The 14,764-nt window shown below is 45.6% G+C and overlaps 1 protein-coding gene across 2 annotated transcripts in view, besides 1 other annotated feature; it reads left to right on the top strand.

The window, feature by feature from the left end:
• The window catches only part of NCKAP1L (NCK associated protein 1 like), a 50,492-nt gene extending 36,890 nt beyond the window's left edge, over positions 1–13,602 (top strand). For both annotated transcript variants that reach the window (NM_005337.5, NM_001184976.2), the window contains exons 27-31: positions 463–556; positions 1,488–1,604; positions 2,303–2,412; positions 4,243–4,332; positions 7,934–13,602. In NM_005337.5, the coding sequence (NP_005328.2) occupies positions 463–556; positions 1,488–1,604; positions 2,303–2,412; positions 4,243–4,332; positions 7,934–8,044 (522 nt within the window). In that variant the 3' untranslated portion in view covers positions 8,045–13,602. The remainder of the gene's footprint in view (positions 1–462; positions 557–1,487; positions 1,605–2,302; positions 2,413–4,242; positions 4,333–7,933) is intronic.
• Positions 11,818–12,362: an enhancer, noted in NCBI's record as "NANOG hESC enhancer chr12:54940243-54940787 (GRCh37/hg19 assembly coordinates)". NCBI's record gives its function as "activates a minimal SCP1, AML or CMV promoter by ChIP-STARR-seq in naive H9 embryonic stem cells {active_cell/tissue: H9 hESC(naive)}" and the evidence as "EXISTENCE:reporter gene assay evidence [ECO:0000049][PMID:30033119]".

Below are 14,764 nucleotides of genomic sequence, written 5' to 3' on the forward strand. Positions count from 1 at the left end.
CCAGAGTATGAGAGAGGAAGTTGTAGTTTGGGGACAGTGAATAAATTATCCTGGCAGCACCGAATAAAGGAAGTATTTAGGAAAATGAAGTTGAAAAAGTAAATTTGTACGATGGAGTGTCCCAAAGGGTTATTTTCCCTGTAGGATAGGGAGAGCTATGAAGGGAATATATAGAGAAGATGACAATAAACCAGAAGTTTAAAATCTACGATTAGCTGGACACTGTGGCTCATGCCTGTAATCCCAGCACTTTGGGAGGCTGAGGTAGGAGGATTTCTTGAGCCCAGGAGTTTGAAACCAGCCTGGACAAAATAGCGAGACTCTCTCTTTCTCTACATATATATAAAAGCATCTTTAAAAAAAAAATTAAACCTGTGATCCAAAAGTCCTGGCTATGCATTCCTTCTGTCAAGCCATTGTGTCCTGCGAATCCTCTCTAGAATGTTATTTTCTTCTCTCCAGGTGACCTTGAGTATCTTTGAGCTGGCATCTGCTGCAGGTGTGGGCTGTGACATTGACCCAGCCTTGGTGGCTGCCATTGCTAATCTGAAAGCTGGTAAGATTGGGGAAAGGGGGCGAGATTTGGGAAAGGAGGGCTTGGGCCTTATTTTGGGTGAAAAAATGTCAATGTCAAAGAAGCCTTTATTTGAGATTATATATTCAGAGGATATAAGCTGGGAGTGAAGGAAGGACCCTAACCTTCAGAAAATACTTACATAGGCGATTTAGATTTATCCTCAGGTTTCAACTAGTTGATCTACATCCTCAGGTTCCAACTAGTTGATCTACCGGTCAGCTAAAAAGTACTAAGTGAGAGTCTGTTTGGTGCTCTGCAAGTGCTCAAAGCCATTTACAATCTGGTTGGGAAAATAAATTAATGCAAATGAAACAATGAGAGAACAATACAAAATAGTGGGTTGTGTGGTATAGCACCCAAACTCCCCATAGTGATTTTGTGCTTTCTCCCTCCACATAATCACCTTGACACTGTTTATTTCTTCCCATCTCACACTTAACACTTTTATTTTCCATTACACATTTCCTCTGATTTCAGTCATACCTATACACACTCAGAACAGGATGAACCAAGGGGCTAGGATTAAGGCCTTTCAAAATGGCCAGACTTACCCTTCTTCTTCTCTCATGGTGGGTGAGAACCTTTTGTCTTCTTTCTGCCTCTCCATCCTATCAGGCAGTGGACAGGCATCCTAGGGTTGCATTGTACATCAGCAGAGCCCTTGGCTGAAAGTTCTGCCCTGTTGCCAGGGAGGCCTCCAGGACTCAGGCCCTTCACTATAGGTGGATGCTAGTCCTGTTTCTTCAGGAAAATTAAGTAATAACTTGCCCATAGGCTTTATAAAGTGTTTTCATGGATATTTTCTCCTGCGATCCTCACAGCAATTCTGTGAAGTAGGACCCCTGTAACAGATAACTTCTGTTTGCTGACTTTATTCACTTTTCCTCTTTTCCTTTTTCCCTCTCACCAGATACTTCATCTCCTGAGGAGGAATATAAGGTGGCCTGCCTGCTCTTGATCTTTCTGGCAGTTTCCCTCCCACTCCTTGCCACTGACCCTTCTTCCTTTTATAGCATTGAGAAGGATGGTAAGTAAGGGGTAGGTTTGAGACACCAGTGCTATTCAAGTTAGTGTCCTGGGGTAGAGAGAGGAGACAGAGATACTGGAAAATATAGACTTCTGACTTGGGTGTAAAGTTCTGTTTCAAAAAGCACTTGAAGGCTGGACACCGTGGCTCATGCCTGTAATCCTAGCACTTTGGGAGGCCAAGGTGAGGTGGGTAGATCACTTGAGCCCATGAGTTCCAGACCAGCCTAGGCAACGTGGTGAAACCCTGTTTCTACAAAAATAAATAAACTAGCTGGGCAGGGTGGCCTGTAGTCCCAGCTACCTGGGAGGCTGAGGTAGGAGGATGGCTTGAGCCCAAGGGGTCAAGGTTGTAGTGAGCCATGATTGCGCCACTGCACTCCAGCATAGTGACAGAGCAAGACCCTGTCTTTAAAAAAAGAAAAAAAAAAGAAAAGAAAAGGAACAAAACACCAAAACACCCCCTACCCTGAAAAAAAAAAAAACCAGAATGAGAGAATGAACTATGCATAATTCGATTTCAATAAGATTTCATAGGAATATCCTGCCTCTAATCTCAAAATGCCTTCTCATCCTTTTGGTGTCAAATACTGGTGGCTCAGCCTGAAAACATGAGAAATTACTAGTTTGGGTCATCCTGGAGTGGCTTACTTTGTCATTTCCTCTTTTTTCTCTCCATCTATATCAATAATAACCTAGGTTACAACAACAATATTCATTGCTTGACCAAAGCCATCATCCAGGTGTCTGCTGCCCTCTTCACGCTCTACAACAAGAACATTGAAACTCACCTCAAGGAATTTCTGGTGGTGAGTGGGTCTAGGTTATAAAGAATGGAAGATTGCAAAGGGCTGGAATTGGTTTGACTTAAATCTGTAGACAATTATCGTTGAACAGGCTTTTGAGTCTAACTTCCCACCTAATTCATTCAGTAAAGAGTGAGAAGCTACTATGTGAAAGGCAAGAGTTTCTTCTAAATTTCCTAACAGCTGGTGTTTCAGCCTCTGCTTGAATATTTGGAAAGATCATTGGACAAAGAGTCAGAAAATCTGAGTTCTGATTTTTGATCTGCCATTAAGTAGTTGTGTGACCTCTGAAGTGCCAAGATTTTGGGGCCACGGTATTTTCATATATAAAACAGTGAGATTAAACTGAACCCATGAATTCAGATTAAACCGAATCCATGAACCTTGGTATGCATCAGAATATCTTGGGGAGCTTGTTAAAATACAGATTCCTGATCTTTACACCAGACCTACTGAGTTAGAATATTGTAGGGTAAATCTAGGCCTCTGTGTTTTTAATAAGGCCTCTGGGAGATCAGATGCACATTCAAGTTGTAGAGACACTGAGTTTTATCATCTCTAAGGCCCTTTCTAACTCTGTATGGACAAATGATCAATGACTACTTCTCAAACTTTAATGTAAATCAGAATCACCTGGAGAGTTTCTACCTTAGTAGATTAGGGTGGGGCTGAATAATGTGCATTTCTGTTCCCAGGTAATCTTGATGCTGCTTGTCTGGGAATCTCACTAGAACCAATGGTCTAGATTTCTAGGGACTGGAACTTAAAACTAGGCAGCGGATTCCACTGTAGGTCATATCCAATTTCTTAAAAAAAATGTTAAAAATTTTAGCCAAAATTTGACTTCCTGTAACTCTCACCATGGATCTTAATTTTGCCTCTGGGAAAACTCAGAACAAATACAATAGGCCCTAGAATTTTCCATTCTAAATCCTCCATGGAGGAATTTTGTTCATATACTTCTGATACATGGTCCATTCCCCTCTGCCTGCTTGAGCATTCTCAGTAACAAAGAGCTTATTTCTTTGCAAAGTATGGTCCCGATATAAGAACCAGGGCCTCATCTGTCTCCTTCCAGGAGGAAACACAGCGGATCATATTGTTCTCTCAGGAATTATACCCTCATTCTGAGAAGTACATGTCAGGGATCATAAGATTGGTTGGTGTGTCTCTATTTAAGCTGAGGCACCCAACCAGATAGACCTGGCTCTCAGCATCTTAAATGCAAAGAGGATTCACACCAGATCTCTGAGAAGGGGTGAGAAGGGAATCCCCCACCCTTGCCTTCCCTTTTATCCTCTGTTTGCTAAATGCAGGTCACCTGGGCCTGGGATACAATGAATCATGTTTCTTCTTTGATCCTTTGGGGGTTTGGGGATGATGGAGATGACAGCCATTTGGGAATTGACTGGAGAATACCACGAGCAAGAGCTGTGTCTGAATCAGAGGCTCACTGCCTCTAGTCAGATAGGGAGTCAGCCATAAACAGCCTGATGACAGTGGTGTCTGGAGGCTGCCTAGGAAAAGAGAGGTTAATCTCCTGGCATACATCACCTGCCTTTGCTCTAGGTCGTTTCCCTGCCCCTTGCAATCTCTCCCCTAGCACTCCTGGCAACCTGTTGTCTGCACTGGGAGGTCAGTGAGATCCAGGCTGGCTTATAGGCAACATGTATCTCTGAAACCTAGGAGATTTGCCACTTTCCCACCCTGAGTCTTCAGGAACATTCTAGCACTTCTTAACTCTCTCCTTGATCTTTTCTTAACTTCCTGCAGCCTGAGGCCATTTGATACTGACCTGTATAAAAATCTGCTTTACAAATTCTTCCCTTACAGGTGGCCTCTGTCAGCCTCTTGCAGCTGGGCCAGGAGACTGACAAGCTTAAAACCAGAAATCGAGAATCCATTTCTCTGCTCATGCGCTTGGTAAGTACCTTATTTAAATTGGTGTGAGAATAGGGAATGGAAGGGCCAGAGGGAGACTTCTGTTTAGGGTCTTTGCATCCTTGCCATTCTTGTCACCCAAAAGCATTAACTAAGGACTTAACTCTGCATAACCCTCTGAATGTAGTCCTCACATTCTGATTAACATTCTAAACTTGTCCTATAATCCCAGAGTAGAGTCTTCAAGGACTTCTGCAAGACAGGGCCTTCCTGGCCCCTAAGCTGGCTGGGCCCATGTCCTGCAATGTTCCCGAGTCTGATCTGATAGGGCAGCTGTGCCCGTTATTGGTAATTACCTGTCCAGTACATGTTTGGTTTCACTTGACAATTTTCTACCACTGCATTTCTTGTTTTTAAGAGTACTATGAAAAGAGTGCTGGATAACACAGAGCTGAACTCAGAGGTTGAGGGGTGGGGGCTCAGAGGAGGGAAAGGATTTTAGCTAAAAAGCTCTAAGGCAGGGAGCCTGGTGGGCCATGAATCAGGCAGCTCCTGCTGTCTCTTCTCCTTGCTTCCCAAGCTGTGGGCTTCTCTCTACTCTGGCAGAAAGTTTTGGGAACTCTGACTCAGTTAACTTTAAAAGTTTTTTTCCTCATGGCCCTGTTTCCCTCTTCAACACTCTTACTCACTCTTTTGCTCTGATTCTCCATGTTAGTAATGCACTTAGGTATGGACAGGAAGGGCTTTTGCCCTGGGCCCAGTGTTTAAAAGGCCCTCCTTGAGCCTTCCTCTAGTAGAGTGTTCTGGGGCCCTCCTCTGGCCAATGGGAAGAGGTAGAGCCTGTACCCCACCTTGAGGCCCATACGAGAGATATCTGGGGCCCCAGAATATTTTGCTAAGTAGCTTCAGCCCACTTGTAGGGCCTGTGTTAAACTTCTTCCTACTGAGGCGGACCGTCCTACTGGTGGATATACCTCTAGTGCCCAAGGGACGTGTGGCTGGAGTTTAGATATGCAGATAAGGAAGTCTACAAGTGCACACAAAATCCCTCTAACTGAGGGTGGGAGGAGAAGGGGGACTGGGCTGGAAGCTTGTTTCTTCCCTTCACCCTGTTCTGGTGCAGAACTTGGAGGAGCCCAAAAATTCTTAATTCAAACCTGGGCTTCCATAAGACTACAAATGTACATTGTGAAGGTTGAAAGCTAGAATATACTAGTTTGTTAGCTTGATTTAATTAGTCATGTGGTATGTGGACCTCCATCTGTATTCTTGTCCGAGGCCCAGAAATGCTAGGGGCCAGGGATTCCTGGGATTCCCTCCAGGTCTCCTTCTTGAAATACACAGGCACTGAGTGATATTTATGCCTTAGTTTCTCCAACTAGAAAAAGGCCTAGGCTGGGCTGGTTAAGGATTATGAGAGAGAGGAGAATGGACTTGGGGGTGGATGTATTTGTGTGGGATGTGTTTGGTGAGGCAAGAGGGCAGAGGAGGTAGATGAGGGGAGAGTGAGGGCAGTGCCCATGGTGGTGGGCTATGTGGGGGCACAATACATAGAGCAGCAGCATGGCCTTGGCAAGGCAATGAACTCTTCTGAGACTTCGGCTCTCTATCCATAAAAGTGGGTAATAATCCTTATGATAGAGTGGTTAGAATCCGTAAGGTATTATGCGTGAAAGTGCCTAGTACATAGTAGATGCTCAGCAAATGTTAGTTCCTGCTGTCTGCAGCTCATTTTAGGTTCTGGATTACTTTGGCATGACTCTTCACTTCCTCAGGTAGTTTTCACCCCTGTCAGGTTGGAGGTGATTCTGTATTACCCACCTGTATTCTTACCTCCTTCTGCTTAGACCCCTTCCAACACCCCAAAATGTGGAAAGTGTTTGCCCCTGTGGCCTTCCAATGAAGCCAACAGAGTGACGGGAACAGAGCTAGGATCAGGTACTTTTTGTTGGAGGGAGAAACTAGAGGGACTAGTTGCTGTGAAGCAATTTAAATGCAAATGTTTCCACAGAGAAATTGGAAATGACCGAAGGTGAAGGAGCTGTATTCTGAGTTAAGAGGCTACTCATGTAGCCTCAAATTCTGACCAGCACTTCTGTCCCCAGAGTCTTTCTGTTTTGGCTGTCAAGCCTGGGCCATGCCTGCACCTCAGTGTTGCCAGTCTGTTCCTGGCACAGGTTTCCTGGGGAAAGACATGGCTCTTATAGAATCATGGAATCCTAGATGCCAGAACCAGACCAGATCCTGGCAATTAGTCCAGTACTTACAAGTCATAAAGATGAGGAAACTGAAGAATAGGGAGGGAAAGATGACAATCAAGGTCTCCCCTAAAATATATGGCAGATTTGGGACTAGAACCCAAGTTTCTTGGCCATCACTCTAGGGCTGTTTCCACTCCCGTAAACTTCTGCCACTTGGGAGCCCTGTTATTTTCTTGTGCTTTATGGAGAATAGAAAGTCTTGGGCCAGTGGATTTGCTTGAAGTCATTATTCATTTCCCTGTACCTGAGGATAGCACCTTGGAGAAGACAGCTCATCTCTTTCCCAGCTGAGGGCTTGAAAGTCTTGCCTAGCAAGAAATTCTTTGATATTTAACCTATCATCAGGGCTGCAGTTTTACCAGCAGATTTCCCTTCCTTCAGCCTGCAGTTTCTGCTCTTTTGCAGCTGTTGTGTGTGCATGTGTTTGAGAATAGGAAAATCTTACACATTTTAAAACTTGAAAGGACTTCAGAGAGAGAAACACGTTAGAGTAGATATGGTAGATTCTCTTTCCTTAGTGAATTTTCAGGACTTGGAGTACCAGATATATTGTGGAGAACCCATCTGTGTGAATTGCCAGAGGATATGGGACACCTCTCCAGAGTGTGTTTTTTAGTCTCATTACCTCTTGGATAAGGAAGGCACTGAAGGAAATACACCCTGCTCCTTCCTCAGGGATGGGGACCCTCCAGTCCACCGCTAGGCTATGCTGCTCTTCATGAACATGCCCTGTCCACCCACCTCCCCCTCTTCACCCTCACCCCCACTCTCATTCTTCTCCGGGCATCTTGATCTATCTTCCTGCTTGGCTGTGGGGGCTGCTGGGATTACCGCAGCACACAGGCTTCTAATTAAACTAATTAATCATGCCTGCTCCTTTATGCGGCATCCTTACTGTTCCCCAAGCACTGTACTGAGAGAGGGAGGAGACTGAGGCCCAACACAAGAGGACCCATGTGGATTCCAGGCCCCCTTCCGTGGCCTGCAGTGGTGTTTGTTTCTCTTGCTGCAAAGCTTTGTAATTAGCACTTTTATACATCTTTACCTGCATCTGTGTGCTGCCCACCCACATGTGATTTAGCATCCAGAATGGGAGAGAATGGGTTTTGCTGCACTGGGAAAGTGGTTCTCTCCTGCTGTCTGCTTCTGTGCCCTTCACATAGTCCTGATGAGGGGGTCAGGGTCAATGATAATGGAGCTGAAGATGCCACATTGCCTTCCTGCAGCCAAACCAAGTGAGGGAAGAGGGGGGTGTGATTTGGAACCCTGTTCACTTGTAACTCTCAGGGCCTCAGAGGGCCTGGGAACTATGCAAAAGGAACAGGGTATCACAGACAAATGCCCTACCTGAGGTTCTCATCTCTTGGCCCCATCTCTTTCAGGTGGTGGAGGAGTCATCCTTCCTGACCCTGGACATGCTGGAGTCCTGTTTCCCTTATGTCCTGCTTCGAAATGCCTATCGGGAGGTGTCTCGGGCCTTCCACCTAAACTGAATGCCTGCCAGTACCCACTGAAGAGCCCTTTGGACCTTCCTAAACCCTTGCCATAGTGGAAGCTGTGGTCACTTTCGCAGGGGGTGGGAATGGGGTGGGGTCACTAAGGAGAGAGGGTCAGGAGCCAGAGTTGATGAGCAGATCTGTGGAAGAACAATCCAGGGCTGAGAAATCGTAGAGCAGTGAGGCAGGCTGGGAGCATGGAGGACAGCTTATGGAAAAAGTTAGGGCGTGGGGCCACATGTGTGAATTTTACAATGAAAAAAGGAGTAACGTACAAGTATATTTTCTATCTTCTGGTGACTTGAGCTTGAGCTCTGACAGGCATGGGCCTCTCCGACCTTCATCACTATTCTTAGGATAATGCTGGCGGGCAGAGATGATCAATCATCATATTAAATCATAATGAGCTTATAATCCTCCCACTGGAGCTGCTATTGTCTCCTGCACATTCATTAGGACCATTATCTTCTCTCTTCCTTTTTCAAATGTGTTCAGCAAACATTCAACCTGCTCCTACTGCAGAGTAGCAGCAAAGGAGCCCCTCTTTTCCTTTGTGGGGCTCTTCGAGGGGTCATTGGGTCTCTTCCTTTGCCCCCAGCTTGACTGCGTTTCCTACTGGGGCAAGGAGGAAGTGCCCTTCAGAGATGTTCACTGCCCACCTACTCTACTACATTGTTTGTTACAAGTTCTCTCTTGCTTTAACCCCTCCTGCTTTGATATCTCCACAACCCAGAGCAGAGGGTCAGTTAGTCTCCGTCAATTCTAGGTTACATGACAACTGATTGGCCCAGACTTAGGTGGGTTTTCCCTCCTGTACCATTTGGGGGTACTCTGCCTTTTATTGGGAGGGACTAATTTAACCCCAAATCCTTTTGTCAGCCTGGGTATAGCTGTTGCTCCAGGAAGGGATTTCTCTTCTGGATCTTAAATTTCACAGACCTCATTAGGTTGTATGGCCCTGAGAGTGGGTATCCTTGAGGGAGTACAAGCTGTTTCAACTTAGCCCTTTTCTGCGCTAATTAGAATTTCAAGCGTCACAGAGCCTGGGGGCTTTCAAGATAGCACTAAACTAGGTTTACTTAACTCCTTGGCAGGAAATAGTGGCCCCCATGCATCACTTCTGTGAATCCACTGCCAGGGAGAAGTGGAGAAACAGATCATATATGTCACAGGTCTAGAGTGGTTGGAATTGACAAATATAATTAGCTAGTTGGTTAATTAGGGTCATGTCCATACTTTCATGATGAAAGGGAAGCAGTTGTCGGTTTTCAGCAAAAACGATTCAGCCTTCCTGAAGCCTATTTGATAGCTGTTTTGGGGTTTTGTACATGTGTTTGCTTTTTATTTCTTGAGACCCAGGCTTAGTCAATACTTTCTTAACTTGGCACCCATAATCAACATACAGATTTTTCTTAGCAACAGTTGTCTGCTCTTTAGGGTGGAAGCGATAGAGAATCCTGCTTCGTGCATCAGCAAATCCTCCTTCCTTGCTATGGGAAGGGCTTATGTTCTAAAGGGTGATTCAGTGTCAGGCTTATGAGACTGAGAGTAAAGTTGATGAGGAAGAGGAGGCTCAGAAGTATCTGAACAACTACTCTATATGTTTATATTTTTCTGCTTGAGGGGATAGAGATCCCTCCTCCATCTGCATCTGCATATAGAACTGCTTAAGAGGACAGCAAGACAAGTTGCTGCAGGGGGATGGAGGGTAGACAGAATGCCTTTTTTTAAAACTGAAAATTTTATTGAGATACTTAATCCACCTGCACTTGTAAGAAATCATACAGAGAAATTCTATTTTCCTTTACACAGTTTCCCTGAATGCTAACATCTAGCAAAACTGTAGTACACTGCCACAACCAGGATAACTGACATTGATATAATCTACTGATCTTGTTCAGATTTCCTTCCCCAGTTTTGCTTATGTTCATTTCTCTCTGTGTGTGCACGTGTGTGTGTTATCTATTTCTATACAGCTTTATCATGTGTAGGTTTGTGTATCTGCCACTGCAGTCAACATACAGAACAGGCCGGGCGCAGTGGCTCACGCCTGTAATCCCAGCACTTTGGGAGGCCAAGGCAGGTGGATCACCTGAGGTCAGGGGTTTGAGAGCAGCCTGGCCAATATAGTGAAACACCGTCTCTACTAAAAATACCAAAACTAGCCGGGCGTGGTGGTGCATGCCTGTAGTCCCACTACTCAGGAGGCTGAGGCAGCAGAATAACTTGATCCCGGGAGGCGGAGGTTGCAGTAAGCTAAGATCCTGCCACAGCATTCCAGGCTGAGTGACAGAGCGAGACTCTGTCTCAAAAAATAAATAATAATTTAAAAAAAGATACAGAACAGTTCCATCACCACAAGGATCCCTCGCATTGCTCTTTTATAGCAATTTTATAGCAATTTTCTCCTCCCACAACCCCCTTCCCCATCTCTAGCTCCTGGTAACACAGATATATTCTCTATTTCTAAAATTTTGTCATTTGATATATCTTTTTGTAAACATATAATTATACACACATATTTCTCTACCACTTATACTTTTTCAAAGTGCTTTCACATCCTTATAGCAATTCTGCAAGGTAGCCAGGGAAGGCTTTCCTATTTCAGGTCAGAAAACAGATTTAGAAATATTAAATGACTTAATGAAGGTCACATGTTTAGCAGTAGAACTAGAACTGGGACCCAAGTCTGATGTTCAGTCCTAGACCTTTTCTACTTGCCCGGTCTGCCTCTTCACAAGGGAAGACTTGGGTTTTAGAATCCAGAGACCTTAGAAGGAGCAAATTGGAGAAGGTGAGGACATGATGGCCTTTACTACCGGAAGCAAAAAGTGAATGTCCAGAGGTGAAGGGACAGAGAAGTAACAGGACCCATCAGCATTTCAGGCAATTTGCTTCCTTTACCAGGAGGGTCTCTGTCCTCTTACAACCTGGGAAAAAATAAGTTGTGTCCCAGGTTGTAAGTTTGCTTTACTTAGGCCCAAAGGAACTAAAGAATGGATATCAGAAATCTCACCCCAATTGTTTTGTCTTACAGGCACAGAATAGGTTCTAGCCTCAGCATTTTCATTAATGTAGTGTTTTTATTAACATCTCCATTAACTTGCTTGCAGCAATGAGATGGAATTATGCCTCCCACAAGGCCTGGGGCAAGATACTTGCATAGGTGCCCCCTTTTGTTTGGACAGTAGAAACACTGCCTCCCCTGCCATGGTGTTCAATCCAGTTGGCAGGTGGGCCAGCTTCAAAGTGCAGAAGGAACTGGGTGTGGTGGCTCACCCCTGTAATCCCAGCACTTTGGGAGGCAGGCGGATCGCTTGAACTCAGGAGTTTGAGACCACTCTGGGCAACACAGTGAAACCCTGTCTCTCCAAAAATACAAAAAATTAGCTGGGCATGGTGGCTGTTGTCTGTAATCCCAACACTTTGGGAGGCTGAGGCCAGTGGATCTCTTGAGCTAAGGAGGTTAAGACCAGCCTGGTCAACATGGCGAACTCCGTCTCTACAAAAAAATACGAAAATTAGCTGGGCGTAGTAGTTCCTGCCTGTAGTCCTAGCTACTTGGAAGGCTGAGGTGGGGAGGATCGCTTGAGTCCGGGAGGCAGAGGTTGCAGTGAGCGAAGATGATGCCATTGCACTCCAGTCTGGGTGACAGAGCAAGATCCTGTCTCACAAAAAAAAAAAAAAAAAAAAATGCAGAAGGTCCAGGGCCTGGCCAAGGGGATGATGCCCTGTAGCACTTTGCTTTGCAGGAAGGGAACAACTGTGCTGTGAATACCAGGATCCAGGAGGGAGGGAGGGTATATCTGTGTCCCCCAGCTAGGGACAAGGCTTCCTTAACCTTAGGTCCTCATGCTTATATTAGTTCTTCTCCAACAAAGTTTGACTTTGAGAAGAAGCTGGCACATGGCTGAAATGCACTCACGCGGTTGGGGGAAGAGTGTTCTTCCAGTCCTCCTCCCCACAGGGCCTCCTGCTTCTCCTAAGTACCTGTCATCAAAGGAGATGAAGATGAATCCCCCTTCAGCCCCCACACCTCAATGAGTTGTCAAGTACTCTCCCTCCCACTTGAATAGGAAGCAGGAGCAGCAGGCCAGGTTGCAGGTTGAGGAAGTCAGAAGTTAACTTGAGCTGAGTTTGCAGCTCTGGAGAGATTGAGGAGCAGACTTTTCTCTTGTCACTTTGGAAGGAGAGGATTGTGAGGCTGCCCCTTTAAATAGCATTCCCGTAGGAGGCAGATCACATCCATCCGTCACCTACTGCCAAAGCATCATTTTTGGTTTCTATCAAACTCAAAGCTTGTTGGAAAGGATTGTGGGGTTAGGGGAGTGAGGAGGCAGAGCCTCCTAGGGGTAGGGGGCAGTTTAGAAGCTGAAAAGGAGAGGAATGAGAAGGAGCCTGGGAAAGGTGGGGGATGAGGACAAGAGGAAAAGACAGGGAGAGAATAGTTGTCTTTTGAGCCTCAGAGTGGAACAAGTATACCCAATTCTTATCTGTTTAGAGACGCAGCAAGGTAGAAATGGGATTGTATTGCAACAAGAGGAATGAGGTTGAGACTAAACACCAGGACTGGTGACTAAAGAAAGTGAAAGGAGCCACAGAGTGAAAAAGGCTGATAGACTTGGCTCTGGTTTTATCACTTACTCTCTGTGAGACCCTATAATTTTTCTGGGTTAGTTTAGTTCTCATTTATTTTTATTTTTACTTTTTCCATCAAACTGTGTTGTCTATGAAGTTTTCCCATTTATTAAATGAAGGGAATTAGAGTGGATGAACTCTAATGTCTCTTTCACGAATAACTTTGTGTGTGTGTGCGTGTGTGTGTGTGTGTGTGTGTGTGTGTGTGAATTAGCCTTAAAATGAATCAGGAGCAGGGGGTCTTGGGAGAGCAGGATGTGACACTGTGTTAACAAGAAATGTTGAGAGAGCCCTCTGGATGTATGTCTTGCCTCTTTCCCACCTATTCTAGTTTAAAGACCTGCCTAAATTTGGAAACTCCTTAGCTCTAATCCTAATTTACTAATTAGAGCTCTTTAGCACCATCCTAATTTGCAATTCTTTTGTAGTTTCCAGCCCATTTCATTTTCAGTTGATAAGGAGGAGATTGCTCCCAAATTTTCAGAAATGGACTGTGTAGGAGTGTGACTAGGGTCTCAGATGCAGCCATTTCTTGGCTGGGTCTGGGGAAAAGCCAAGGGATGTGTGCTAAAGGTAGATGGACAGAGGGTGGGAAGTCCCTTATTATTTCCACTTTTTTCTCCATCTCTGACTCTGCCATCTCTTTCTGCCTCTGTACTTTCTGGGAGCTGGTTCTGCTGATACTTCTGCTGAATCTAAATGCTGACCTAACTTGGCAATTCTTTTATGTTAGGAGTCTTAGCTGTGACAGTTCATCCGCTTCTTCGCCCTTCCATTTCACTTCTTTTCTCCTTCTCTGACTGGGAGAGGAGGAGCCTCCACTCAGTATTTAGAACAGAGTAAATACCTTCTCCTGATCACTCCTCCTTCCAACCTCCAGAATTTTTTGAAATTAAAATTCACATTCTGGGATCCTGGATTAGTGGCCTGTTTTGGATTCAGTAGTTAGTGAATATATCTCCACTTTCTGTTGACATAGGAGTTTCCCCAATGCCAAAGCAGGTGGTCATTAAGGGAGAGAACAATATGGAGCAAGAGAGGTGGTTCCTGCAAGAGTCCTAGGTAGGACTCGGTTGGATGGAGGAGGCTTTGCCCTTTTACAAGGTCTTGAGTTCAAATTCCAGTTCACTCCTTCCACAAATGTTTATTAACCAGCTAGGCTGTTTTGTGCTGGGCCTTTAGCTCCTAGATTTCTTTCTCTGAAGACAGAACAGAAAAAATGAGCTGGAAGTGCTTCAGGAGGGGTTTTGATATCAGGAATGCTTTCCTGGCTGTGTAGAGTTATTACCTAGTCAAAGAAGAAGATGTTAAGCTGGGTGCGGTGGCTCACACCTGTAATCCCACCACTTTGGGAGGCCGACGTGGGCGGATCACGAGGTCAGGAGTTGGAGACCAGCCTGGCCAATATAGTGAAACCCCATCTCTACTAAAAAATACAAAAATTAGCCGGCGTGGTGGCCCGCGCCTGTAGTCCCAGCTACTCCAGGAGGCTGAGGCAGGAGAATCGCTGGAACTGGGGAGGCAGAGGTTGCAGTGAGCCGAGATCGCGCCACTGCACTGCAGCCTGGGCGACACAGACTCCTTCTCAAAAAAAAAAAAAAAAAAAAAAAAAAAAAAAAAGATGCCTGCTCTGGAGAGCTTTGAACTTGGAAGAAATTCCTATCTGCTAGGCGGGCAGGCAGAAGTACCATGGAGAAGGCCACAGTCTTGGAGACAGGTGGGGAAGATCAAGCTGAGGGACCCGAGGCCAAGTGTGGGATGCCATCACAGCTCAGGGCACACCCTGAACTTTTCCAAGACAGGAGCACAGGTGGGGTCTGGTCCGACTGGGTTCCGAGTCCAGATCTAGCAGGGAAAGATGTGTGCTCATCCCCTACCCCGCACTCAGACATGGGACACGCAGGCAGCTAGGCACACGTGGATACATGGAACCACAACCACATACACAGAAACTCAAAACACACGGAGAGAACCCACACAACCACCCACACCGAAGTCCAGCCCGCCGCCTCCGCTGCACTCTGTAAACACGCACTCACATCCGCCAGTACAGGGCACACGCAGCCACTCGTCCCCGGC

Source organism: Homo sapiens, chromosome 12 (genome assembly GCF_000001405.40).
Source record: "Homo sapiens chromosome 12, GRCh38.p14 Primary Assembly".
Lineage (NCBI taxonomy): Eukaryota > Metazoa > Chordata > Mammalia > Primates > Hominidae > Homo > Homo sapiens.